Source organism: Homo sapiens, chromosome 12 (assembly GCF_000001405.40).
Source record: "Homo sapiens chromosome 12, GRCh38.p14 Primary Assembly".
Lineage (NCBI taxonomy): Eukaryota > Metazoa > Chordata > Mammalia > Primates > Hominidae > Homo > Homo sapiens.
The window spans coordinates 56543955-56571866 of record NC_000012.12 but is presented as its reverse complement, the minus strand read 5'-3'; the positions used below and the strand labels follow the sequence as shown (position 1 = coordinate 56571866).

General features: G+C 44.3%; 1 protein-coding gene across 15 annotated transcripts in view, besides 3 other annotated features; it reads right to left on the bottom strand.

Moving 5' to 3' along the window:
- The window catches only part of RBMS2 (RNA binding motif single stranded interacting protein 2), a 75789-nt gene that overhangs the window by 24327 nt on the left and 23550 nt on the right, over positions 1–27912 (bottom strand). For 12 of the 15 annotated variants that reach the window (XM_024449115.2, NM_002898.4, NM_001414461.1 and 9 more), the window contains 4 exons: positions 9284–9450; positions 2834–2892; positions 1877–1968; positions 12–169 (listed from right to left, as the gene is read on the bottom strand). In XM_024449115.2, coding sequence (XP_024304883.1) covers positions 12–169; positions 1877–1968; positions 2834–2892; positions 9284–9426 — 452 coding nt within the window. In that variant the 5' untranslated portion in view covers positions 9427–9450. Of the gene's footprint in view, positions 1–11; positions 170–1876; positions 1969–2833; positions 2893–3680; positions 3802–9283; positions 9451–9731; positions 9828–27912 lie in introns of those variants that run through there. The other 3 variants (XM_024449116.2, XM_047429298.1, XM_011538642.4) reach the window with 3 other exon arrangements.
- Positions 5448–5985: an enhancer, noted in NCBI's record as "H3K27ac hESC enhancer chr12:56959666-56960203 (GRCh37/hg19 assembly coordinates)". NCBI's record gives its function as "activates a minimal SCP1, AML or CMV promoter by ChIP-STARR-seq in primed H9 embryonic stem cells {active_cell/tissue: H9 hESC(primed)}" and the evidence as "EXISTENCE:reporter gene assay evidence [ECO:0000049][PMID:30033119]".
- Positions 5815–5864: a silencer, noted in NCBI's record as "silent region_4560". NCBI's record gives its function as "represses an Ori minimal core promoter by ATAC-STARR-seq in GM12878 lymphoblastoid cells {active_cell/tissue: GM12878}" and the evidence as "EXISTENCE:reporter gene assay evidence [ECO:0000049][PMID:35858748]".
- Positions 5986–6524: an enhancer, noted in NCBI's record as "H3K27ac hESC enhancer chr12:56959127-56959665 (GRCh37/hg19 assembly coordinates)". NCBI's record gives its function as "activates a minimal SCP1, AML or CMV promoter by ChIP-STARR-seq in primed H9 embryonic stem cells {active_cell/tissue: H9 hESC(primed)}" and the evidence as "EXISTENCE:reporter gene assay evidence [ECO:0000049][PMID:30033119]".

The window sequence follows — 27912 nt, the reverse complement described above, 5'->3', positions numbered from 1 at the left end:
GCCATCCTCACCTTGCAAAGCCAACACCTCTGCTGGTCCCACTGGTATCTCGAAGGATACGGGTGGAGATAACCTGGCCAAAGGGCTTCAGCATCCCCTCCAGTTCCTGCTCATCCATTGACAGTGGGAGGTTTGAGATGTATAAATTTGTGGGGTCCTGTTCCTGTTGCTGTGGAAATAACAGTGAGAAAATGAGGCTCACATCTCTTATCCCTCTCCCACCCTCAGCCCTCCCCACAAATGACATTTCAGAAAAGAGACTATAGGAAGGGTCCCACATAAACAAAGATTATTCTATTTGTTAACACCCAGTCCCACTACCACGGGTTGTATATTGAGTTCCAGGAGGGAGAAGTGCAGATTTAATATTTCTAGTACTATACAAGCCCATCATACAAGTCATAAATGGTGTTTGGCTGTCTCTTTTAGAAACAGGCAGAGCAGCATTCCCGCTCTCCCCCAGCAGCCGGTCCCAGAGGCTGGATTCCCTCAGACTGCCTTGCTCCTTGGCTGGCTTGTTTTGAGCAGCCCCTCCCCACTTCTCTTCCAGCCACGCAGAATCCTCTAAGTAGGAATGCCTGTTCACTCCCTGATGGAGGAAGAGCAGGAGGAGGGGAGAAGGGAACAGGGAGAGAGCCAGATGCAGAGTTCACTGTGTCACCACGGAGCCCTGAAAGCTACAGTCTCCTAGGACCCTGAAGGCTCCTAAACCTTTGAGCTTTTGTCAGAGGGTTTTACTCCTGGAAGAAGAGGTAGGAGAGCCCTTCCAGGGGACAGAATGTGCAAAATGGCAATATCATCCAATAGTTGTATTTTTAAGAATTTAAGCAGTCACTCTGCCCTAAACAGTGGTCACCAGCAACCTTAATCCTCTTCTGCCTTTTCCTTTTGTTTTCCTTTTCTTTAACCATTACAGAAAAGGTGTCTAGCAGGCCTGCCTCACAAGCTCTATGTATAATACTCATAACAGCTTCAGAAAGGCAAAGGGACAGCCAGGCGTGGTGGCTCATGCCTGTAATCCCAGCACTTTGGAAGGCTGAGGTGGGCGGATCACAACGTCAGGAGATCGAGACCATCCTGGCTAACACGGTGAAACCCTGTCTCTACTAAAAATACAAAAAATTAGCTGGAGGTGATGGCGGGTGCCTGTAGTCCCAGCTACTTGGGAGGCTGAGGCAGGAGAATGGCGTGAAGCCGGGAGGTGCAGCTTGCAGTGAGCCGAGATTGCGCCACTGCACTCCAGCCGGGGCGACAGAGCGAGACGCTGTCTCAAAATAAATAAATAAATAAAATAAAATAGAAAGGCAAGGAGACAATCCCACCTAACAGAAGAAGTGAGAGAAAAGCTTCTAGATTTCTAGTAGTCTAGGTGAAGACAACAGTTTCAGACAGATCTGAGAAGAGACAGTTTCCTCCCTTGATGTGGCTTCCCTCCTGCCTCCCCAGCCCACTACCCAGCCCGTATGGGGAACAACATTAGGAGGTGGAGAGCATTGTTCTGAAATTCTGAGTTGCACAATTGACTTGTTCAGAGAATGTTGCAAAACCACCACAAGCTGTCTGGTAGGGAAGTGGGGCCAGGGTGAATAATATAGGGAACACGGGGAAGCAGCAGGAGTACCGGAAGAGGCCACCTTACCTTTCTTGCTGCCAATAACTTGGTGAAAGGAAGAGAGCTGATAGAGCTACCTGCCATAGACTTTGAATACATCTTCCTCCAGCAGCCAGGGGTGCTCATGGACTGTCTAGAAAGCACCACGGATAGCCCTTGCCCACTCAATTTCATGGTTCTTAAGCCCTCTGGAAACCTTAGAACTGGAACTTTGGTGCTAACCACAAACCCCTTGGAGGAACAGACATGGGGTAGTACCCTTACCTTTGCCATCTGTGCCTGTACACCGCTGGCCTTCAGTGCTGTTACAGCTTTCTGTGCTGCTGAAGGGCTGTCAAAATCTACAAAGCCATAGCCTGGAACAGAGGAAACAGCATCACTAGGAAGTGGGAGGTGTAAGGAACAGAGAGGTCCAGGCTTTTCAGGAGACAGAGGAAGAGTTATGATCCATGTAACAGAAATGGGAGGGAGAAAGAGCTATTGAGAGGTTTCAGGTAGTTATCCACATGCTCCTCAAACCCTGAGATGTGATCTACTTTGTGGCTAAGAATGCCAAGGCAATGAGCTACTCTGGTGTCCCTGCCCTTCTCCCTCCCCCTTAAGAAATTTGAGGTTTCAGGAACTAGGCTCTGCTAATAACCCAAAGCCCCCCTACACCTCTAAAAGAATTCACTCCCCTCTTTTCTTGATATACCCCAGAAATGCTAGGCATGTAGGGAATGCAGCCTCTCCAGAGCAGACCACCAGCCACCTGCTGGAAGAAGACCCTCACCACCCCAGCTTATAGCCCTTTCTCTTCCTTCCACTCTTCCAGCTCTATCTAGAACTGCTCAAAACCCCAATAAAACTACTCACCCTCAGAAAATAACACCCACCAAAACACTCCCCAAAAAAGGCATTTACATGACTTTGCTAAGCAGAAGAAAATCTCACTTACCCACTTCTACCACCTCATCCAGGGAAATACAAAGTCCAAAATAAGCTCAGTAGACTCAAAGGTGTTTTGTACAGTCTTCTGGCCTTGGGGCCCCTAAACAGCATTTTCAGCTCTAGCTATCTGGTCACCAAAGAATCTAAATATCTCCTAATCTTTTAAGCCTAAAAACTTCAGGGACTTCTCGCTGACACTGTAGACTCAGGACTCTCAGCAGTAAAGGGCAGTGTCAAGGGATGGCCTCACTTACTGGTGCTCTCCAACACCAAGGACAGTTGTTCTCTCACCTTTACATTTGTTTGTGGTCTTGTCCAGTATGGCCTTAGTGGAAACAATCTTGCCATATCTAAGGGAGAGGAAAATGCAAAGTAATAATCTGGGGGGCAGAGACTAAGAATAGGACAGAGATTCAGACATCTCAACAAATCCATGCCCTTTCCATGATCTAACTTTTCCTACTCAAACCTTCATAAAAATAAAAAAGAAACGGGGGCCGGGTGCAGTAGCTCACACCTGTAATCCCAGAATTTTGGGAGGCCGAGGCTGGAGGATCACTTGAGGTCAGGAGTTTGAGGCCAGCCTGGCCAACATGATGAAGCCTCATCTCTACTAAAAATACAAAAATTAGCTGGGCGTCACGCCAGTAGTCCCAGCTACTTGGGAGGCTGAGGTAGGAGAATTGCTTGAACCTGTGAGGTGGAGGTTGCAGTGAGCCAAGATGGCACCACTGCATTCCAGATTGGATGACAGAGCGACACTACATCTCAAAAAAAAAAAAAAAGAAAAAAAAGAAATGGGTTAAAAATGCCACACTTAATATAAACCCATCCTCCCCAAAGGTACCTAAAAGAAATAAGGTAACTGTAGTCCCTATAATACCAACACATTTCTCTCTTCTTTCCCAGCTAAGACTCACACACTAGTTGGAAAGAGATGACTGTCTTTTGGGGAAAGAAGCTTGGCAATGTCCACACGAAAGAGTGTGTAGAGGCAGAGCTCTGGCTGGAATTCCCTGAGGACTAAAAAGAATCCTTGCCATTACTTATTTTCTTTTGGAAAACACCACTGATCCTATGAAAAAACTATAGACATTTTTCTTCTCTGATATCCTATTTCCATCACCCCTCCACTGACCCCTTTAATTGAAGGTCAACCTGAGCCAAATTGCTTTGGTTCAAATCCTGGTTCTGCCACTTTTTAGCTATGCGTGATCTTGAACAAGTCATTGAACCTTTTGGTGTCTCAGCCTCATCATCTGTAAAATGGAGATAGGATTGTTAGGACTGTGAATTAATAAACAGAAATCATTAATGTGTACCACATGGTAAGCACTTAAAATTTTTAATTGCTATTATTATATTCAAGGAACCTCAACTTTAATATCTCTTTGCCTTACTCTAAGACTTCTATTTCTCATTGTCAAGATTTGAGAGTGTTAGGGAGGGGAGTGGGAACTGTAGTATTAAAAAAAAAATTGTGTGTGTGTGTGTGCATCAGGGTCTGGCTCTGTTGCCCAGGCTGGAGTGCAGTGGTGTGAACATGGCTCACTGCAGCCTCGAACTCCTGGGCTCAAGCAATTCTCCTGCCTCAGCCTCCTGAGGACCAAAGGTGTGTACCACAATGTCCGGCTAATTTTAAAAATTATTTGTAGAGACAGGATCTTACTATGCTACCCAGGCTGGTCTTTAACTCCTGGCCTCAAGCAGTCCTGCTGCCTTGGCCTCCAAAAGTGCTAGGATTACAGCTGAGAGCCACCATGCCCAGCTCTAAGAAAATCATCTTATAAACAAAAAACCATCTAAATTTTGGTGATAAGGCCAAAGGGCTGCATATCCTTTCTTCTTCTTCTTCTTCCTTCTTCTTCTTTCTTCTTCTTCTTCCTCTCCTTCCTCTTCCTCTTCTCCTCCTTCTCCTTCCTCTTCTTTTTTTTTTTTTGAGATGGAGTTTTGCTGTTGTTGCCCAGGCTGGAGTGCAATGGTGTGATCTCAGCTCACTGCACCCTCCGCCTCCCAGGTTCAAGCGATTCTCCTGCCTCAGCCTCCCGAGTAGCTGGGATTACAGGCGCCTGCCACCACACCCAGCTAAGTTTTACATTTTTACTAGAGACGAGGTTTCACCATGTTGGCCAGGCTGGTCTCAAACTCCTGACCTCAGGTGATCCACCCGCCTCAGCCTCCCAAAGTGCTGGGATTACAGGCATGAGCCACCACACTTGGCCAAGTTATAGATTTTTGTCCAGTAAAAATGCAAATTATTTCTGTGCAGTAGATAAAATAATTGCAAAGGTTAGTGGCTTTACTATCCTATAGGACATAAACCAGTTTTTATCTAATGTAGCAATCTTATTCCAACATTCTTTCTTCATTTCCTATAAATAGTTCCTCAAATGCTCTTTGAACTCATTTTGCCATCCTGCTGGTTCCCTCATTAATGAGTTATAAAAATCTTTGACACATATTCATTTTATATTTGCATGACAGTTGTGTTTTCTTTTTGTTTTCTGAAACAGAGTTTCACTCTTGTTGCCCAGGCTGGAGTGCAGTGGCGTGATCTCGGCTCGCTGCAACCTCCGCCTCCCGGGTTCAAGCGATTCTCCTGCCTCAGCCTCTGGAGTAGCTGGGATTACAGGCATGCGCCACCACACCCAGCTAATTTGGTATTTTTTAGTAGAGATGGTGTTTCACCATGTTGGTCAGGCTGGTCTCGAACTCCTGACTTCAAGTGATCCACCTGCCTCAGCCTCCCAAAGTGCTGTGATTACAGGTGTGAGGCACTGTGCCCAGCCTAACAGTTGTGTTTTTCAACTTTTTGAAAATTATACTTTGGTAGCAGAGTCATGTGGAACTTCTAAAACTTGAGTAGTAGTGTATCACAGATCAGGGATTATATTAGAAGCGTTCCACTAGAAAAAAGCCTCTACATTCCACTCCAGGAGGGTGAAAATATTAAAGAGACAGAACAGAAATCACTAACAAAGTCAGAAGTACAAGAGCTAACTGAAAATAGTTGTCAGGGAATGAATTTGAGAATAATACCCCAAACAAGCAATTTTCCCATCTCTCCTTCCATCCCTAAAGAACATATGATGATTGATTTGTTTTCACTCCTTGGCGGCATCTCACTGACTTTTTTAGTAGAACTTCTGTGATCCAAAGGATTAGACAGAATAAGCCAAGCAATGCCCTGAAAGCTGGGAACAGAACACATTAAAAGGAGGGTGAGGATGGATGTGGCTATCCTAGCCCTTCCAGGCTACACACTTGGATTCATTCCCAAATTGAGGCAGGGGAGGGACTCATGAGAAGTCTGACTGTGGGGCAGAGGACACAAGTGCTGCTATCCTTATGAAGGCCCCAGGGTGGAGCTTGCTGTGGTCTAGCAGCTGAGACTTTGAGCTCAGAATTTCCACTGCAGCTGGCAACAGCTGGGTCACTGCTGCTGCTTCCTTGAAGGAGCCCCTCCGAGAAACAGGAGTTCCAGTCCTAGACTCCACGCCTCTCCTTCCCACATGCCAGACTTTAGGATCCAGCAATATTTACTTCCTCTACAACCCAGGGAGAGACAACTGGGACAAAGGCAGGAAGTCCGTCTACGCATGAGAAACATCCTTCCTAGAAAGGCTTAACTCCCTGCTCACAGCGGACAGAGGGCTCCACCCACCTGCTCTGCTCAGCCTCCTAGTCAGGACTCCTCTGGCACCTCTTTCATTCCTGCCTCACTCCTGCCTCTCCACAGTCCCCTTTTGGGCTCCTTACTTCGATCCTACATGCTGCCCTTGACTATACTTATGCTTCAGACACAGCAAAAGATAAGGCAATTGTTCAGAAAGGCAAAATAAAAATCCCTCTGTATCTGTGGGTTTCCCACTTGTGGATTGAACCAGCCATGGATTGAAAATATATAGGAAAAAAAAAAAAGTCTTTCTTCTAAGAGAGGTTCAGGGAAAAAAAACTAAAAAAATAACTGTTGGGTACTATGCTTAGTACCCAGGTGACAAAATAATCTATACACCAAATACCCAAGTCCCGAGTTTACCTATGTAACAAACCTGCACATGTACCCCTTAACCTAAAATAAAAGTTAAAATGTTTTTTAAAAGAAAGGATGGTTGCATCTGTACTGAACATATACAGACTTTTTTCTTGTCATTATTCCCTAAACAATACAGTATAACATTTATTTACATGGCATTTGTATTGTATTGAGGTATCATAAGTAATCTGGAGATAATTTTAAAGTATATAGGAGCATGTGCATAGGTTATATGCAAATACTACACCATTTTATTTTATTTTATTTTTATTATTTTGAGACGAAGTCTTGCTCTGTCACCCAGGCTGTGGTGCAGTGGCGTGATCTCGGCTCACTACAACCTCTGCTTTCTGGTGGCGTGATCTCGGCTCACTGCAACGTCTGCTTTCTGGGTTCAAGAGATTCTTCTGCCTCAGCCTCCTGAGTAGCTGGGACTACAGGTGCCCACCACCACACCCAGCTAATTTTTGTAGTTTTAGTACAGACGGGGTTTAACCATGTTGGCCAGGCTGGTCTCCAACTCCTGACCTCAGGTGATCCACCCATCTTGGCCTCCCAAAGTGCTGGAATTACAGGCATGAGCCATCATGCCTGGCCACTATACCATTTTATCTAAGGGACTTGAAGCCAGGCTCAGTAGCTCATGCCTGTAATCCCAGCTTTTGGGGAGGCCGAGGCAGGAGGAATGATTGAGCGCATAAGTTTGAGACCAGCCTGGGCAACATGATGAAATCTCATCTCTACAAAATTTACAAAAAATTAGCCAAGCATGGTGGTGTGTACCTGTAGTCCTAGCTACTCAGGAGGCTGAGGTGGGAGGATTGCTTGAGCCCTGGAGGCTACAGTTAGTTGTGATTACACCACTGCACTCCAGCCTTGGTGACAGAACAAGATCCTGTCTTAAAAAGAAAAAAAAGCGTAGGGACATGAGCTCAGTGAATTTTGGTATCCATGCAGGGGGACAGAGGAGGTCCTGGAACAAATCCCCCCCAGATACTGAGGAACGAATATATGGTAGTCTAATCAAGATTCTTCTCTGAGCGAGGCACGGTGGCTCACACCTGTAATCCCAGCACTTTGGGCGGCCGAAGTGGGCAGATCACCTGGTCAGGAGTTCGAGACCAGCCTGGACAACACAGTAAAACCCCATCTCTAGCAAAAAAAAAAACAAAAATTAGCCCGATGTGGTGGCGTGCGCCTATAATCTCAGCTACTTGGGAGGCTGAGACTCAGTCTTAAAAAAAAAAGATTCTTCTCTGTCTTGTGATGTGAGAGAATTTTTGTAGCACATTATATTTAGTACAAGAAACAAAATTTAGAAATCAAGGACCTATATTAGTATGATACTCTTTCGCTCCCTCAAAAACCAACATTTCTGCTAATTCCCACCTCTCAAAAATTACTAGTCCAAGACAGTCCCCTTAATTCCACTTACATACCTTTCTAGCAAGGTAAGCTGAGATAACGGACCAGTTTTAAAATTTTTTTTAATATATATTTTTACTATATTTTTTATAGAGACAAGGTCTCACTATGTTGCCCAGCCTGGTTTTGAACTCCTGAGCTCAAGCAATCCTTCTGCCTTGGTCTCCCAAGGTGCTAGGATTACAGGTGTGAGCCACCACGCCCGGCCCAAGGACCAGTTTTTTATATACACCAGACTTTATTTTTTATTGCTTATTATTTTTTGAGCTGGACATCTGTGCACTCTTGCCATTTTTCCAACATTCCTAATTGGGCAATTCCATGAATCAAATCTACTAAAAAGAACTCCGAAGGGTCTTCATGGGGTAGATACAGAATAATTGTTCCTATCTCCACCTTCTTTATCTGCTAATTTGAGGTCTCCATTCCCAAGGAATATCTCCAGCAGCAGAAAGTCTCCAAAGTGCATGATTTGATTGGCGAGTCCCACTTTCTTCCATCCCCACTGCCAGCTCTCTCATGCCTTCTAATTAACATCTATAGAGATATTAAACTTCTCTATTCAAGGTGTAAGGACAGCAGTCTTTCCACTAAGACCATCAGGTTGGGGGAGGTGCTGGAAATAAAGTTGGATATTAGGCTTTAAAGGCCAGTCCCACACTGGCTTTCCTTAGAGAAACACATAAAGGCTTTATAATATATATCAGTAGCAGGTAGATTTTTATTTATTTTTATTTTTTTGAGATGGAATCTCACTCTATTGCCCAGGCTGGAGTGCAGTGGCATGATCTCGGCTCACTGCAAGCTCAGCCTCCAGGGTTCACACCATTCTCCTGCCTCAGCCTTCTAAGTAGCTGGGACTACAGGCACCCGCCACCATGCCCGGCTAATTCTTTTGTATTTTTAGTAGAGACGGGGTTTCACCATGTTAGCCAGGATGGTCTCGATCTCCTGACCTCGTGATCCGCCCGCCTAGGCCTCCCAAAGTGCTGGGATTATAGGCATGAGCCACCGCACCCGGCCAGTAGCAGGTAGAATTTTTTAAGAGGCTGCTGAGAAAGTTTGTGTCTATGGAGTAGAAACAAAATGCCATTGCCTTTTAGGATAAGTGAGCTGGCAAGGCCAGGAGTGGTGGCATGCATCTGTAATCCCAGCTACTGAGACAGGAGGATCACTTGAGCCCAGGAGTTCAAGACTAGCCTGGACAACATAACGAGACCCTGTCTCAAAACCAAATCTATACTGTCCCTGGAAGCCTACGCACATGTACTCCAACTTACGGCTGACACAGCTTGACAAGATCTTGGTCAGTAGTGCCTGGTTGCAATCCTCGGATGTATAGGTTGGTTTTGCTCAGCTGGTCATTTCCATTGCTTCCACTACTGCTGTTAGGTGTACTGTTGCTTGGGCTAGGTGGTGCCATCTGCTGAGCCAATGACACATATGGCTGCAGGGAGACATGAGGAAGAGGTAGAAGGATTATCCATTTACATGTTGGAGAGTGAGGAAGATCCTGGACCTCTTGAAAAAATGATTCCAAACTATATATAATCACAAATGTGCACTCACTTGGACACACATAGTTTGTTCCTTAGCTCTATATTTTAGCAGAGAAGAAGAAATTAATACCACATTGTGAGATAGCCCAAAGACTTAAAATCCTGTTGTAGCTTTTAATACATCCTTTATATTTCCTATTCCTTTTTCCCTCTTTTTGCCAGCACTTACATTAGGATTTCCCAGATAACAGTCTGTAGGCTGGGCGTGGTGGCTCACACCTGTAATCCCAGCACTTTGGGAGGCCGAGGCAGGCGGATCATGAGGTCAGGAGATCGAGACCATTGTGGCTAACATGGTGAAACCCTGTCTCTATTAAAAATACAAAAAAATTAGTTGGGCATGGTGGTGGGCGCCTGTAGTCCCAGCTACTCAGGAGGCTGAGCCAGGAGAATGGCGTGAACCCGGGAGGCAGAGCTTGCAGTGAGCTGAGATCGCGCCACTGCACTCCAGCCTGGGCGACAGCACGTTTGGAAAAGAAATGCAGGACGGGCGCGGTGGCTCACCCTTGTAACCCCAGCACTTTGGGAGGCCAAGGAGGGGGGGGGTGGATCACGAGGTCAGGAGTTCAAGACCAGCTGACCAACGTGGTGAACCCCCGTTTATACTAAAAATGCAAAAAAAAAAAAAAAATTAGCCAGGTGCAGTGGCACTCGCCTATAATCCCAGCTACTCAGGAGGTTGAGGCAGAAGAATGGCGTGAATCTGGGAGGTGGAGCTTGCAGTGAGCCGAGATCACGCCACTGCATTCCAGCCTGGGTGATAGGGCGAGACTCCATCTCAAAAAAAAGAAAGAAATGCAACTCAAAACCACAGTGGGATACCATCTCCCAAAAGTCAGAATGGCTAGTATTAAAAAGTAAAAAAATAACAGATGCTAGTGAGGTTATGAGGTTATGGAAAAAAGGGAACACTTATACACTGTTGGTGGGAGTGTAAATTATTTCAACCATTGTGGAAGACAATGTAGTGATTCCTCAAAGACCTAAAAACAGAAATATCATTTAGCCCAGCAATCCCATTGCTGTGTATATACCCAAAGGAATAGAAATCATTCTATCATAAAGACACAAGCATGTGTATGTTCGCTGCAGCACTATTCACAATAGCAAAGATATGAAATCAACCTAAATGCCCATCAATGGTAGACTGAATAAAGAAAAGATTGTACATATACACATGGAATACTACGGAGCCATAAAGAAGAATGAGATCCTGTCCTTTGCAGGAACATGGTTGGAGCTGGAGGCCATTATCCTTAGCAAACTAATGCAGGAACAGAAAACCAAATACCACATGTTCTCACTTATAAAGTGGGAACTAAATGATGAGAACACATATTTACATTAAGGGGAACAATACACACTGGGGTCTGTCTGAGGGTGGAGGGTGAGAGGAGGGAGAGGAACAGGAAAAATAACTAATAGGTCATGAGGCTTAATAACTGGGTGACAACATAATTTGTAAAACAAACCCCCATGACACAAGATTACCTGTATAACAAACCTGCACATATACCCATGAACTTAAAATAAAAGTTAAATAAATTTTAAAAAGAATCACTTTGAAATTTCCATTTAATTACTAGTTCTGCAATAATAATAATACACTGGTCCAGGCACAGTGGCTCACACCTGTAATCCCAGCGCTTTGGGAGGCTGAGGTGAGAGAATTGCTTGAACCCATGAGTTTGAGACCAGCCTGGGCAATATAACAAGACCCCATCTCTACAAAAAATACAAAAATTAGTTGAGGCAGGGTGCAGTGGCTCACGCCCGTAATCCCAGCACTTTGGGAGGTCGAGGTGGGTGGATTGCCTGAGCTCAGGAGTTCAAGATCAGCCTGGGCAACAGGTGAAACCCTGTCTATTAAAATACAAAAAATTAGCCAGGTGTGGTGGCATGCACCTGTAGTCCCAGCTACTCAGGAGGCTGAGGCAGAAGAATGGTGTGAACCCGGGAGGCAGAGGTTGCAGTGAGCCGAGACTGCACCACTGCACTCCAGCCTGGGCAACAGAAAGAGACTCCGTCTCAAAAAAAAAAAAAATTATGAAGGTTGTGATAAATATATATTTCATAAAGATAAAACGCAGTCAAGAAGACTATGACCTATGGCCGGGTACGGTGGCTCACACCTGTAATCCCAGCACTTTGGGAGGCCGAGGCGGGTGGATCATTTGAGGTCAGGAGTTCAAGACCAGTCTGGCCAACATGATGAAACCCCGTCTCTACTAAAAATACAAACATTAGTCAGGCGTGGTGGCACATGCCTGTAATCCCAGCTACTTGGGAGGCTGACACAGGAGAAATGCTTGAACCTGGGAGGCGGAGGTTGCAGTAAGCTGAAATCGTGCCACTGCATTCCAGCCTGGGTGACAGAGGGCGACTCCGTCTCAAAAAAAAAAAAAAAAAGAAGATTGTGACCTAAATCCTTTTTTTTTTTTTTTTTTTTTTTTTGAGGCAGAGTCTTGCTCTGTTGCCCAGGCTGGAGTGCAGTGGCCCGATCTTGGCTGACTGCAACGTCTGCCTCCCAGGTTCACACCATTCTCCTGCCTCAGGCTCCTGAGTAGCTGGGACTACAGGCGCCCGCCACCACGCCTGGCTAATTTTTTGTATTTTTAGTAGAGACGGAGTTTCACCGTGTTAGCCAGAATGGTCTCGATCTCCTGACCTCGTGATCCGCCCGTCTTGGCCTCCCAAAGTGCTAGGATTACAGGCATGAGCCACCGCGCCCGGCCGTGACCTAAATTCTTAATCACAGTTCCTGAGTTTAGAATAAGGAGTTCACTGCTGGAGATCATTAAATAAGATATGTCCTTCTTGGCCGGGCACGGTGGCTCACGTCTGTAATCCCAGCACTTTGGGAGGCCGAGGTGGGGAGATCACGAGGTCAGGAGATGGAGACCATCCTGGCTAACACGGTGAAACCCCGTTTCTACCAAAAATACAAAAAAATCAGCCAGGCTTAGTGGCGGGCGCCTGTAGTCCCAGCTACTCAGGGAGGCTAAGGCAGGAGAATGGCGTGAACCCAGGAGGCAGAGCAGAGCTTGCAGTGAGCCGAGATTGTGCCACTGCACTCCAGCCTGGGCAACAGAGCGAGACTCTGTCTCCAAAAAAAAAATGTCCTTCTTTATCTCTAAGGAGTTGCTATTATTGATCCTTAGCTGAGAAAACAAAGCTGCTTCTCTGAATATGAGACTGTAGGTCTGTCAGCGATGAGGGTGATGATGATGATAGCCACGATGTCAACAGTAACAATGATAATAAAAGCAACTGTCAGCTGGCGCGGTAGCTCAAGCCTGTAATCCCACCTGCTCAGGGGGTTGAGGTGGGAGGTTGGCTTGAGGCCAGGAGTTAGAGACTAGCCTGAGCAACATAGTGAGACCCTAACTCTTAAAAAAACAAAGAGGCCAAGCACAGTGGCTTAAGCCTGTAATCCCAGCAAATTGGGAGGCTGAAGCAGGCGGATCCCTCAAGCCCAGGAGTTCAAAACCAATCTGGGCAACCTGGTGAAACCCCACATCTATAAAAAAAAAATGCAAAAATTAGGTGTGCATGGTGGCACACACCTGTAGTCCCAGATACTCACAGGGCTGAGGTGGGAGGATCACTTGAGCCTGGAAGGCAGAGGTGTAAATGTTGCAGTAAGCAAGATCGTGCCACTGCACTCCAGCCTGGGTGACAAAGTAAGATTCTGTCTCAAAAAAAAAAAAAAAAGGAAAAAGAAAAAGGAAGGAAAGAAGGAAGGAAGGGAGGGAGGGAGGGAGGGAAAAAAAGAAAGCAACTTTAGTAGCACCATACTATGTGCCAAGCACAAGCAGATGAAGAGACCACCTGCCTCAGTTGGCGTTCATCTATCCCCATTCTCAATGTGAGATAATGTTTCTGAAAGAAAGTATCAGTGATGCCAGGACTGTCCAAACAAGAATACAAGGGTTACTGGGGAAATAAATAAATTGAAGAGAGGCAGCTGGTGGCTCACGCCTGTAATCCCAGCACTTTGGGAGGCCGAGGCTGGCGGATCATGAGGTCAAGAGACCGAGACCATCCTGGCCAACATGGCAAAACCCCGTCTCTACTAAAAATACAGAAATTAGCTGGGCGTGGTGGTGCGTGCTTGTAGTCCCAGCTTCTCGGGAGGCTGGGGCAGGAGAATGGTGTGAACCCAGGAGGAGGCAGAGCTTGCAGTGAGATGAGTTCTCGCCATTGCACTCCAGCCTGGGCGACAGAGCAAGACTCCGTCTCAAAAAAAAAAAAAAAAAAAAAAAAGCCCGGGCGAGGTGGCTCATGCCTGTAATCCCAGTACTTTGGGAGGCTGAGGCGGGTGGATCCACTTGAGATCGGGAGTTGGAGACCAGCCTGACCAACATGGAGAAACCCCGTCTCTGCTAAAAATACGAAATTAGCCGGGCGTGGTGGTGCATGCCTGTAATCCCAGTTACTCAGGAGGCTGAGGCAGGAGAATCGCTTGAACCTGGGAGGCAGAGGTTGCGGTGAGCTGACATCGCGCCATTGCACTCCAGCCTGGGCAACAAGAGCGAAACTCCGTCTCAAAAAAAAAAAAAAGAAAAGAAAAGAAAAAAGAGGCTATTGGTTTGCTGCCATGCTTACCATCTTGGTTTTAATACTAAGGTCTTAGCTATAGTTTAAAAATATGACTTAGTCAATAATAAACTTACTACAAGGCCTGAAAAAATTCTTAGAAAAGAAGATACGGCTCAGAAGAAAACAACTTTTCTGCCTTTATTGAGCTTACAGTCAGCAAAAATACTGTGGGACTGGTCCCTCTCATCAGGAGGTAAATTCTTTAGGCTTTTTGCTCTATAGTAAGCCATTGCTTACTATAAAACAACTTTTATCTCTTGCTATTCTCACGTACCTTCTGAAATTGCTGCATAGGTTTGACACCAAAGAAAAATGGTGGAAAAATATTCACTTTTAAGGGTAAGAGAATACAAGGGGGGAGAAATGGTTAAGAAAGCCCCTAAGTAAAGCTTATCTGGCTTCCTAAAACACTTTGGAGACAAAGACCCTGTAAACTAATAATATGTTTACCTATAATATGTAAGAGAGAAAAGGGTAATACGTATGAGCACCCAGGGAACTGACATATTCTTACCGGAGAAGGGAAGAATAAAAAGAAGCTATGGTTTCTCCAGAACCCTACCATGGATTCCCTTCTTATGTTTCTCAGCTGAGGAAGTTCTAATTCTTCAACAAGAGAGCATCATAAATGCGTTTATTTCCAAATTGATAGAGAGATGAAGGCTAGGGTAGGCAATGGCTTACTATAGAGCAAAAAGCCTAAAGAATTTACCTCCTGATTAGAGGGACCAGTCCCACAGTGTTTTTGCTGACTGTAAGCTCCATAAAGGCAGAAAATTGTCTGAGTTGCCTATCTTTGAATCCATAGTGACTTTATTGATGAATAAATAATATCATCAGTTAATATTATCAGTTAATATCATCATCATGAATGAGCTGCCTTCTCAGCTCCATTCAATCACTGATAAAGTGAACTACCAAGGGAGCAGTTTTACCTCTATACTTCTTTCATGTTATTTTGGCCTTAAATATAGTTCAGAATGTGGTTAGTATTAGTTCTCAGCAGCTGCTTAAAAGCTAAAAGACAGGCCAGGCAAGGTGGCTCACACCCATAATCCCAGCACTTTGGGAGGCTGAGGCGGGTGGATCACCTGAGGTCAAGAATTCAAGACCAGTCTGGCCAACGTTGTGAAACCCTGTCTCTACTAAAAATACAAAAATTAGCTGGGTGTGGTGGTGCGTGCTTATAATCCCAGCTACTCCAGAGGCTGAGGCAGGAGAATCGCTTGAACTCGGGAGGCAGAGGTTGCAGTGAGCCCAGATCGCGCCACTGCACTCCAGCCTGGGTGACAGAGTGAGACTCTGTCATCAAAAAAAAAAAAAAAAGCTAAAAGACAAAGTCATGTTTAGTATAAGAGGAGATTACAGTGACATACTTTTACATTAAATACTTTAGATCATATGATCCCCAGAGATTTTTATAGGGTATCTTACAGCATAATTCTCTATCCTTTATTTATTATTTTTCAGGTCTCGCTATGTTGCCCAGGCTGGTCTTGAACTTCTGGGCTTAAGCAATCCTCCAGCCTTGGCCTCCCAAAATGCTGGGATTACAGGCCTGAGTGAGCCACTGTGTAGTATTATTTAAATACTACACCACCAATTTATAGGGAATTGAGGTTATTTCTCACTCCCTCTCTCCTTTTTTTTTTTTTTAAGACACAGAGTCTAGCTCTGTCTTCCAGGCTGGAGTGCTGTGGCATGATTATGCTCACTGTAATCTCAAACTCCTGGGCTCAAGTGATCTTCCTGCCTCAGCCTCCCAAGTAGCTAGGACTAAAGGCACACACCACCACACATGGCTAATTTTAAAAAACATTTGTGGTGGCTTATGCCTGTAATCCCAGCATTTTGGGAGGCTGAGTGAGGGGACTGTTTGAGGCCAGGAGTTTGAGACCAGCCTGGGCAACATGGTGAGACCCCCATCTCTACTGAAAATACAAAAATTAGCTGGGCATGGTGGTAGGCACCTGTAATCCCACCTACTCAGGAGACTGAGGTGGGAGGATCACTGGAGCCCAGGAGGTGGAGGCTGCATGAGCTGAGATCGTGTCACTGCATTCCAGCCTGGGTGACAGAGTGAGACCTGGTCTCAAAATAAAATAAAATGCATAGAGGCGGAGTCTTGCTATGTTGCCCAGGCTGATCTTGAACTCCTAGCCTCAAACAATCCTCCCACTTCAGCCTCCCAAAGGGCTTGGATTACAGGTATGAGCCACCATACCTGGCCAAGGTCTTCTTCTTCCTTTTTTTTTTTTTTTTGAGACCAAGTTTTGCTCTTGTTGCCCAGGCTGGAGTACAATGGCGCGATCTTGTATCACCGCAACCTCCGCCTCCTGGGTTCAAGTGATTCTCCTGCCTCAGCCTCCCGAGTAGATGGGATTACAGGCATGTGCCACCATGCCTGGCTAATTTTGTACCAAGGTCTTCTTAATATTATGTCTGAAAGATCTCAGTCTCAGTCCTAGACAATTAAAAAAAAACAAAACAGAAGGAATTGCTATATAATTTAAACAAAAGTAACTTTCTGAGTCAGAGAGAGGTAGTCCTCAAGATGTTGAGGGCCAGCTCACTAAGTAGGTATCCAGGTACTTGGCTGCCTGCCTCAAAGCCCTAAATCTTTTTTTTTTAAAGTGTATATATCCTTTTATTCAGAAATTCCACTTGTAGGGATGCTTATATATGTGCACAAATATATATGTACAAGGATATTCATTGCATCATTCGTTATAATAGTAAAATACTGAAAAAGCATATACTCATCAATGAGAAAACTGGTTACATAAATTATAGTGCATACATAAAAGGAGTACCATGTAAGCCATTAAAAATAATATGGCACATCCATGTATCTTTTCCTGGAAGGATACTAAAAATATACTACTACATGAAAAAACTAAGCTGTTTAGTACCGCCACTACCACTGTTAATATTACTATTTTATTTTATTTATTTATTTAAAACATTTTATTTTAAGTTTCAGGATACATGTGCGAGTTTGCTATATAGGGAAACAGGTGCCATGGTGGTTTGCTGCACCTATCAACCCATCACCTAGGTACTAAGCCTCACATGCATTAGCTATTTATCTTGATGCTCTTACCCTGCCTGTCCATACAACAGGCCCCAGTGTGTGTTGTTCCCCTCTCTATGTCTATGTGTTCTCATTGTTCAGCTCCCATTTATAAGCAAGAACATGCAGTGTTTGGTTTTCTGTTTCTGTATTAGTTAGCTGGGGATAATGGCTTCCAGCTCCATCCATGTCCATGCAAAGGACATAATCTTGTTCCTTTTTATGGCCACATAGTATTCCATGGTATATATTTACCAGATTTTCTTTATCCAGCCTATCATTGATGGGCATTTGGGTTGATTCCATGTCTTTTCTATTGTGAAGAGAAAGCTCTAAATCTTTAAATATGCTTTCCACAAAGGCATCTCAAGTTCTCCTGGATCCTTGACAGCTGATAGGGGAAACATCAAGCCTCTGCAGACAGATGACAGCTCAATATGGGTGAATTATCTATATCTGCAAAGGAAGGAGAATTTTGTCCTTCGTTCTAATTTTAGAAGAATTCGGCCGGGTGTGGTGGCTCACGCCTATAATCCCAGCATTTTGGGAGGTCAAGGTGGGTGAATCACTTGAGGACAGGAGTTCAAGACCAGCCTGGCCAACATGCTGAAACCCTGTCTCTACTAAAAATACAAAAATTAGTCGAGCATAGTGGCATGCGCCTATAGTCCCAGCTACTCGGGAGGCTGGGGCAGGAGAATCGCTTGAAGCCAGGAGGCGGAGGCTGCAGTGAGCCGAGATCGTGTCACTGCACTCCAGCCTGGGTGATAGAGTTAGATTCCATCTCAAAAAAAAAAAAAAAACAAAGAAATTAAATTACAAGAATTCTTTTTTTAAAAAAGACTCAATTTTTACAGACTCTTCGTCAGATGCAGTGGCTCAAACTTGTAATCTCAGCACTTTGGGAGACCAAGGCGGGTGGATCACTTGAGCCCAGGAGTTTGAGACCAGCCTGGGCAACATGGTAAAACCTCGCCTCTACTAAAAGAAATACAAAAATTAGGCTGGGTGCAGTGGCTCATGCTTGTAATCCTAGCACTTTAGGAGGCCATCGTGGGCAGATCACCTGAGGTCAAGAGTTTGAGACCAGCCTAGCTAACATGGTGAAACCCCATCTCTACTAAAAGTACAAAAATTAGCCGGACTTGGTGGTGTGCGCCTATAATCTTAGTACTGGGGAGGCTAAGGCAGGAGAATTGCTTAAACCTGGGAGGCGGAGGTTGTAGTGAGTAGAGATCACACCACTGCCCTCCAGCCTGGGCGACAGAATAATCTTTATCACATACACACACAAAAAAAGAAATACAAAAATTAGCCAGGCATGATGGTGCATGGCTGCAGTCCCAGCTACTCAAGAGACTGAGGTGGGAGGATGGCTTAATAGAGTGATACTCTGTCTCAAAAAAGACTCCTGGCAGGGTGCAGTGGCTCACGCCTGTAATCCCAGCACTTTGGGAGGCCGAGGCAGGCAGATCACATAAGGTCAGGAGTTGGAAACTAGCTTGGCCAACATAGTGAAACCCCGTCTCTGCTAAAAATACAAAAATTAGCTGGGCGCCTGTAATCCCAGCTACTCAGGAGGCTGACACAGGAGAACTGCTTGAACCTGGGAGGATGAGGTTGCAGTGAGCCGAGAGTGCACCACTGCACTCCAGCCTGGGGGATAAAGCGAGACTCTGTCTCAAAAAAAAAAAAAAAAAAAAAAAAGGACTCTTAATTTTAAAAGAATAACTATTACTGATATTTGGCACTTGTTGTATATGGTGCTAAGTATTTTATTTATTTTTTGAGACAGGGTCTTGCACTGTCACCCAGGCTGGAGTGCAGTGGCATGATCATGACTCACTGCAGCCTTGACCTCCCAGGCTCAAGCAAGCCTCCCACCTCAGCCTCCCGAGTAGCTGGGACTACAGGCACTTGCCACTACATTTTTTAATTTTGTAGAGACACGCTATGTTGCCCAGGCTGGTTTCGTACTCCTGGGCTTGAGGGATCCTCCTGACTTCGCCTCCCAAAGTGTTGGGATTACAAGTGTCAGCCACTGCACCTGGCCTGTGCTAAGGATTTTATATCTACCATCTCAGTTATCCTACCTCTCTTGCTTTCCTTCTGCTTTTACGTGTGGCTGCTCACTCTGAGAAGGGAGTGATGCTTCTGGGAATAGAAATGTCCTTTCCACACGGGTGTCTTCACACATCTTTATATGCTAAATTCCAGTCATCCAACTAACCTTAAATCTGCTGTTCCCTAGCATCCTGCTTTGAATTTGAATAATCAATCAAAGTTTCCTTTTCTGTCTTGGTAACCAAGTGGGTACTGTCTAGGTTTCACTGGCAGATCCAAAGTCAAAAAAGCCCCAGCCTTGAGACTACTTCCCACCTCCAGGGAATAAAACTGAAATTCCTGCATTTCACACAAAAAAATCAGTGAAATACTAGAACTTTTTAAAAACATTACTTCCTTTACATGCCTACGTTTCTAAGGCAATACATTAGCTTTTAGTTAATAAATCATACTTCAAGACTCGTCATCACACTACCAGGCTTTTCATGCCTTCCTCTGTCACCCAGGCTGAGTGCAGTGGCACGATCTCGGCTCACTGCAACCTCTACCTCCTGGGTTCAAGCGGTTCTCCTGCCTCAGCCTCCCACGTACCTGGGACTACAGGCGCATGCCACCATGCCCGGCTAAGTTTTGTATTTTTAGTAGAGACTGGGTTTTGCCATGTTGGCCAGGCTGGTCTTGAACTCCCGACCTCAGGTGATCTGCCCACCTCGGCTTCCCAAAATGCTGGGATTACAGGTGTAAGCCACCATGCCTGGCCTCAAGTACTCAAATGTTTACTAAGTGAATGAATTAACCCATGTTTATTCTGAAAGCATTCAACATATATACATCAAGCAGGTAATCTCAAATTCTGCAAGTCTAAAATTAATTTCTGTACCTTTTCCTGAACTCCCTTATTTCTAATATCTCTTAACTTGTCTGACTGCCTCTGTTCTCCTACACCTCCAAACCACCCTCAATAATGCAGCTAGCATTAGCCTTCTCAAGTATATGTGATCATGTCATTTCTCTCTATATAAACCCATTAATGTTGCTCATTCACTTCCAGTCTACTTCATAAGAAGACTCATACCTAGAATACTCTTTTATTGGATTTCTTTACATATTTCTTTGCTACATGATGATATGCTACCATCCCTTACTTCTAAAAGCAAATCTAATATCATCCCAGACATCTAAGATTTTAGGCCACATGTGATGGCTCTGCTTAAATCTTGAAATCATGAGGGGCACAGTACAATTATGAGTCCTCTTCTAAATACCACTAATTCAAATGACTTCCGCCATTCCACCTCATGAGCATAAACCAAGGTTATGAGTAAAAACCTGCAAGGTTTCGTTTTCTAGGAGCCAAATAAAACCGCATGCCATTCAAAGGAGTGAAGCAAATTGATGGATGTTAGAGCAGAGATCTATCCCTTTTTTTTTTCTTTTTTTTTTTTTGAAACAGGGTCTTGCTCTGTCACCCAGGCTGGAGTGCAGTGGTGCGCGATCATAGCTCACTGCAGCCTCAAACTCCTGGGCTCAAGTGATCCTCCTGCTTCAGTCCCCCAAGTAGCTAGGAATACAGATGCATGCCACCATACCTGGCTGATTTCTAAATTTTTTGCTATGTTGTTTAGGCTGGTCTTGAACTCCTGGCCTCAAGCAATCCTCCTGCCTCAGCCTATCCCTTCCCTTCCTCCCTTCCTTTTATTATTTATTTATTTATTTATTTTTTTGATACAGAGTCTTGCTCTGTCACCCAGGCTAGGGTGCGATGGCGCAATCTCGGCTCACTGCAAATTCTGCCTCCTGGGTTCAAGCGATTCTCCTACCTCAGCCTCCTAAGTAGCTGGGATTACAGATGTGTGCCACCACACCCAGCTAATTTTTGTATTTTTAGTAGAGACGGGGTTTCATCATGTTGGCCAGGCTGCTGTCAAACTCCCAATCTCATGTGATCCACCCACCTCGGCCTCTCAAAGTGCTGGAATTACAGGCGTAAAGCCACCATGCCTGGCCTTTTTTTGTTTTGTTTTGTTTTTTTGAGAAAGGGTCTCACTCTGTCACCCAGGCAGGGTGGAATGTAATGACATGATCACAGTTCACTGTAGCCTCAACCTTCCAGGCTCAAGTGATCCTCCCACCTCAGCCTCCTGAGTAACTGAGACTACAGGCACATGCAACCACACCTGGCTAATTTTTGTATTTTTGTAGAGACAGGGTTTCACCATGTCGCTCAGGCTGGTCTCAAAACTCCTGAGCTCAAGCAATCTGCCCACCTCAGCCTCCCAAAGGGCTGGCATTACAGGTATGAGCCACTGCACCTGGTCTAGTCTATCCCTTTCTTAAGAGAAACCTGGAGAACTGACAATTCAGCCAATTCATGTCTTCTAATAACCCTGACATTGATTCTCACATGAAAATGACATTTAGGACATATCAATAAATAGCAAATGAGATTTAAGATTTAGAATCTGCTGCAGTTTATGAAATCCACCATAGTATAGGAGGATTAAGGAAAACATCTGGCTCTTCATTTTCTTTTTTTTGCGAGACGGAGTTTCGCTCTTGTTGCCCAGGCTGGAGTGCAATGGCATGATCTCAGCTCACTGTAACCTCCGCCTCCTGGGTTCAAGCGATTCTCCTGCCTCAGCCTTCTGAGTAACTGGGATTACAGTGCCCACCACCACGCCCGGTTAATTTTGTATTTTTAGTAGAGACGGGGTTTCTCCATGTTGGTCAGGATGGTCTCGAACTCCTGACCTCAGGTGGATCTGCCCGCCTCAGCCTCCCAAAGTGCTGGGATTATAGGCATGAGCCCCCGCACCTTGCCTGGCTCTTCATTTTCTAGCATAGGGCCTGACATAAGACTGATGGCCCTTGAGAACCATTTCAAACTAGTATGAGTGATAATACAGTCCTATCCTTCCCTTCCCCAGAACATTCATTAATCTGAGGGAAAGGCTGGTGGGGACGTGGACATAAAAATATATAACTCCTTCATCTTTCACCCAGAAAAAGAAAAATCGAATTCCCCTGTACCTGTAGCAGAAACTTCATGTTTCCTGTCTTACTGAGTCGCATGAAACTAGGAGAAAAGAGAGTGTCCTTCCATTTGCTCTCTTTCAAGAGATTATAATGATAGAAGGAGGGTGGCACAATGCCTACTTCCCAATCACTAGGTTTTCATCAGATCTTTTAAGAGAATGATCCAATCAGACGAGCTACTTGTAATTATAATCTAGTATAAGTAAAACATTGTCTTTAAAGAAGCTGTATTTCTGGCCCGGCCCAGTGGCTCAAGCCTGTAATCTGAGCGCTTTGGGAGGCAGAGGCAGGTGGATCGCTTGAGGTCAGGAGTACAAGACCAGCCTGGTCAACATGGTGAAACCCCGTCTCTACTAAAAATAAAAAAATTAGACGTGGTGGTGCACATCTGTGATCCCAGCTACTCGGGAGGCTGAGGCACAAGAATCACTTGAACCTGGGCGTCGGAGGTTGCAATGAGCCGAGATCATTCCAGCCTGGGTGACAGAGTGAGACTTTGACTCAAGAAAACAAATCAAAACAAATAAAGAAGTTGCATTTCTGAAAATTAAGCTCTCCGATCAAGTGCTCATTTAGTTTAGGTTCATAAAATTTATGAATCCTGTATCCATTCATTTGCCATCAAAGTCATCCTCACCCTGGGCCCTTAACTATGAACTGCCAGAGCAGTAGAAAACTCAATCCCACATCTGATACCTAGCTAAGTTCCTGGCACATAATAGGCATGGATATTTGTTAAAATGAGTGAAATAAACACATGGTTTGCTAATTGTGTATCATGTTAATAAATCCCTAAAAAGTCTCACAGATACACAATCCAGCAGCCTAACATCAAAATTCCTAATGCAACGGGAATGTGGATGATCCACAATACATATTCCTGGAGCCAGTGGTCTCCAGGACATATAACATAACTGAACGTTTGCCTAAAATACATTATTTCCTGGGTTCCAAGTCATTGTATCACCTAATAAGAGAAAGTCCACTTTCTCTGAGAAGTAACAGACCCCATAATAATTACCCATGAGATCCTTTGCACTATTTCAGTCATTCAGCAAATATTTGTTTGTTTGTTTGTTCTTTGAGACAGAGTTTTACTCTGTTGCCCAGGCTGGAGTGCAGTGGCACAATCTCAGCTCACTGCAACCTCTGCCTCCCAGGTTCAAGCAATTCTCCTGCCTCAGCCTCCCAAGTAGCTGGGATTACACGCATGCGCCACCATGCCCGGCTAATTTTTGTATTTTTAGTAGAGATGGGGTTTCACCATGTTGGCCAGGCTGGTCTCGAACTCCTGACCTCATGTGATCTGCCCACCTTGGCAGCCTCCCAAAGTTCTGGGATTACAGGTGTGAGCCACCACATCCAGCCAAGCAAATATTTGAATACCAACTATGTACAAACACTGCTTGATGCTCTGGGGACTCATAGATGAATGGTGTATGAGTGACGTATTTCATAATATATTTATTTATTAACATGCTCCACAGGGAGGTACATAATAAATTTAAATGCACATCCACAAGGAGTCACTAACAAGTTCACAAACTAGAGCTTACAATCTAGAAAAGTAGCAGAATGGGCTGGGCACGGTGGCTCACACCTGTAATCCCAGCACTTTGGGAGGCCAAGGTGGGTGGATCACCTGAGGTCAGGAGTTCAAGACCAGCCTGGCCAACATGGTGAAACCCCGTCTTTACTAAAAATACAAAAAAAATTAGCCAGGCGTGGTAGTGGGCACCTGTAATCCCAGCTACTTGGGAGGCTGAGGCAGGAGAATCGCTTGAACCTGGGAGGCAGAGGTTGCAGTGAGCTGAGGTCATGCCATTGCACTCCAGCCTGGGCAACAAGAGCGAAACTGTCTCAAAAAAAAAAAAAAAGAAAAGAAAAGTAGCAGAACAAAATATTTGTGCTAATGGTATAAGAATATGAAAGAAGACACAATTAATTCCTGAGGGTGAAGTCTCTCAAAAAAGACACTTGGGCCTTGAAAGGATAAGCAGAGCAATAATTAATTATTTTTTTAAATAGAGACAGAGACTCATTATGTGCCCAGTCTTGTCTCAAACTCCTGGACTCAAGCAATCCTCCTACTTTGGCCTCCCAAAGTGCTGGGATTACAGGCATGAGCCACCATACCCAGCCAGAACAATAAACTTTTTTCATTTTTGTTTTTTCAGATGGAGTTTCGCTCTCATTGCCCAGGCTGGAGTGCAGTGGTGCGATCTCAGCTCACTGCAACCTCTGCCTCCCAGGTTCAAGCGATTCTACTGCCTCAGCTTCCTGAGTAGGTGGGATTACAGGCACCCGCCACCATGCCTGGCTAATTTTAAAAATATTTTTTAGCAGAGATGGGGTTTCACCATGTTGGCCAGGCTGGTTTTGAACTCCTGACCTCAAATGATGCCACCCGCCTTGGCCTCCCAAAGTGCTAGGATTACAGGTGTGAGCCACCGCACCCGGCCCAGAATAATAAACTTTTAATGGAAAGCCATCAAGGAAATGCAAATCAAAATCACAACAAGCTATCACTTTATACCTACTAGAATGGCTATAATAAAAAAGACAGATAAGTTCTGGTAAGGGTGTAAAGAAATTGGAAACTGGAAACCTCGTATACCATTTATGGCATTGCAAAACGATGCAGCTGCTTTGGAGGATAGTTGGGCAGTTCCTCAAATGTTTAAAGCATAAAGTTACCATGTGACCTAGCAACTCCACTGCTAGGTATACACCTAAGAGAATTGAAAACATGCCCACACAGGGCCAGGTGTGGTGGCTCAAGCCTGTAATCCCAGCACTTTGGGAGGCTGAGGCAGTCGGATCATTTGAGGCCAGGAGTTTAAGACCAGCCTGGCCAACATGGTGAAGTTCTGTCTCTACTAAAAATACAAAAACTAGGCTGGGCACGGTGGCTCATGCCTGTAATCCCAGTACTTTGGGAGGCTGAGGCAGGGGGATCACAAGGTCAGGAGATCTAGACTATCCTGGTTAACACAGTGAAACCCTGTCTCTACTAAAAATACAAAAAAATTATATTTTTTGTATATAAAATATAATATACATTTATTTTATATTATTTTATTATACATATTATATTATACATTATATTTTACATTATAATGTACAATATATTATACATTATATTTTACATTATAATGTACAATATATTGTACATTATATTTATAATGTATTATAATGTATTATTATTTTTTATAATGTATTATTTTATAATGCATTATACATTTATAATAACCCATGGTGGCGGGTGCCTGTAGTCCCAGCTACTCAGGAGGCTGAGGCAGGAGAATGGCGTGAACCCGGGAGGTGGAGCTTACAGTGAGCTGAGATCGCACCACTGCACTCCAGCCTGGGCGACAGAGCAAGACTCTGTCTCAAAAAAAAATAAAAATAAATAAAAGTACAAAAATTAGCCAGGTGTGGTGGTGCATGCCTGTAATCCCAACTACTCGGAAGGTGGGGTATAAGAATCACTTGAACCCGGGAGGCAGAGATTGCAGTGAGCCAAGATTGTGCCACTGCACTCCAGCCTGGGCAACAGAGTGAGACCCTGTCTCAAAAAAAAAAAAAAAAAGAAAAGAAAGGGAAGAAAACATATGCTTACACAAAACCTGTACACAAATTTCACAGAAGCACTATTCATAATAGCCCAAAGTGGAAAGAAGACAAATGTTTATCAACTGATAACTGGATAAATAAAATATGATATATTCATATGATGAAATATTTATTCAGCCATAAAAGGGAAGAAAGTACTGATACATGGTACAATGTGAAGTAAGCCCAATAACATTATGCAAAGAGACAGAAGCCAATCACAAAGGACCACATGTTGCATGATTCCATCTATATAAAATGTCCAGAATAGGGCAATCTATAGATATAGAAAGTAAATTAGTGACTACTTAGGGCAATGGGAGAGGAGCAATGGGAGGATTAAGTGGTGATAGGTAAGTGGGTAGGATTTCCTTTTGGGGATAATAAAATGTTCTAAAATTGATTATGGTAGTGGATGCAAAACTGCATATACTAAGAGCCACTGAATTGTATACTTTAAATGTATGATGTGTGAACTTTAAACTGTATGATGTGTGAATTATATCTCAATAGAGCTGTTATAAAAATGTGATGAGGTACATGTTTATAGCAGCACAATTTGCAAATGCAAAGATACGGAACCAACCTAAGTGCTCATCGACCAACAAGTGGATAAAGCAAATGTGGTGTATATACACCATGGAATACTACTCAGCCATAAAAAGGAACAAAATAATGTATTTTGCAGCAACTTGGATGGAGCTGTAGGCCATTATTCTAAATGAAGTAACTCAGGAATGGAAAACCGCATGTTATATGTTCTCACTTATAAATGAGAGCTAAGCTATGAGGATGCAAAGGCACAAGAGTAATATAATGGAATTTGGGGACTGGGAGGGGAAGGCTGGAAGGAGTGTGAAGGATAAAAGACTACATATTGGGTACAGTGTAAACTGCTCAGGTGACAGGTGCACTAAAATCTCAGAAATCACTGCTAAAGAACTTATCCATGTAACCAAAAACCACCTGTACCCCAAAAACTATTGAAATTTAAATACATAGTTTAAAAAAATGTGATGAGGGCCAGGTGTGGTGCCTCATGCCTAGAATCTTAACACTTTGGTAGTGTGAGGCAGGTGGATTGCTTGAGCCCAGGAGTTCAAGACCAGCTTGGGCAACACGGCAAAGTCCCAGCTCTACAAAAAAGAAAAAAAAAAAAATTAAAAATTAGCTGGGCATGGTGGCATGTGCCTGTAGTCCCAGCTACTCAGGAGGTGGGAAGATCACTAAACTTGAGAGGCTGAGAATGCATTGAGCCATTATTGCACTACTGCACTACAGCATGGCAACAGAGCAAGACTGTCTCAACAACAACAAAATGTGATGAGGATGGGTAGACAGAAGAAGACATTCCAACCACTAAAACTATCTTGAGACGTTAGGTTACCAGACGTTACCATGAACTGGCATAGAATTCAGCCTAGGTGGCATCACTCTACTTCATTTCCAGGTAGAAAAGTCAGTCACAGGATAAATATATTTTACTGAAGCTCAAATCATGTAAGAGAAAGAAACAAATATTTCCTGCAACTCCTCTTCCTAAAAACAACAATGTAAAACAAGAAAGACATCTCTAAAACAGAGCCTGAGGCAGAGAATACACGCCACATAACTGCCCAGCATAGATGGGTTTTTTTTTGAGACAAAGTCCCGCTCTGTTGCCCAGGCTGGAGTGCAGTGGTATGATCTCGGCTCATTGCAAGCTCCACCTCCTGGGTTCAAACGAGTCTCCTGCCTCAGCCTCCTGAGTAGCTGGGATTACAGGCATGCGACACCACGCCTGGCTAATTTTTGTATTTTTAGTAGAGATGGGGTTTCACCATGTTGGTCAGGCTGGTCTCGAACTCTTGACCTTGTGATCCCCCTGCCTTGGCCTCCCAAACTGCCGGGATTAGAGGCGTGAGCCACCACCCCTGGCCTATAGCTGGTTTTAAAAGGTGACTCTATGGCCGGGCATGGT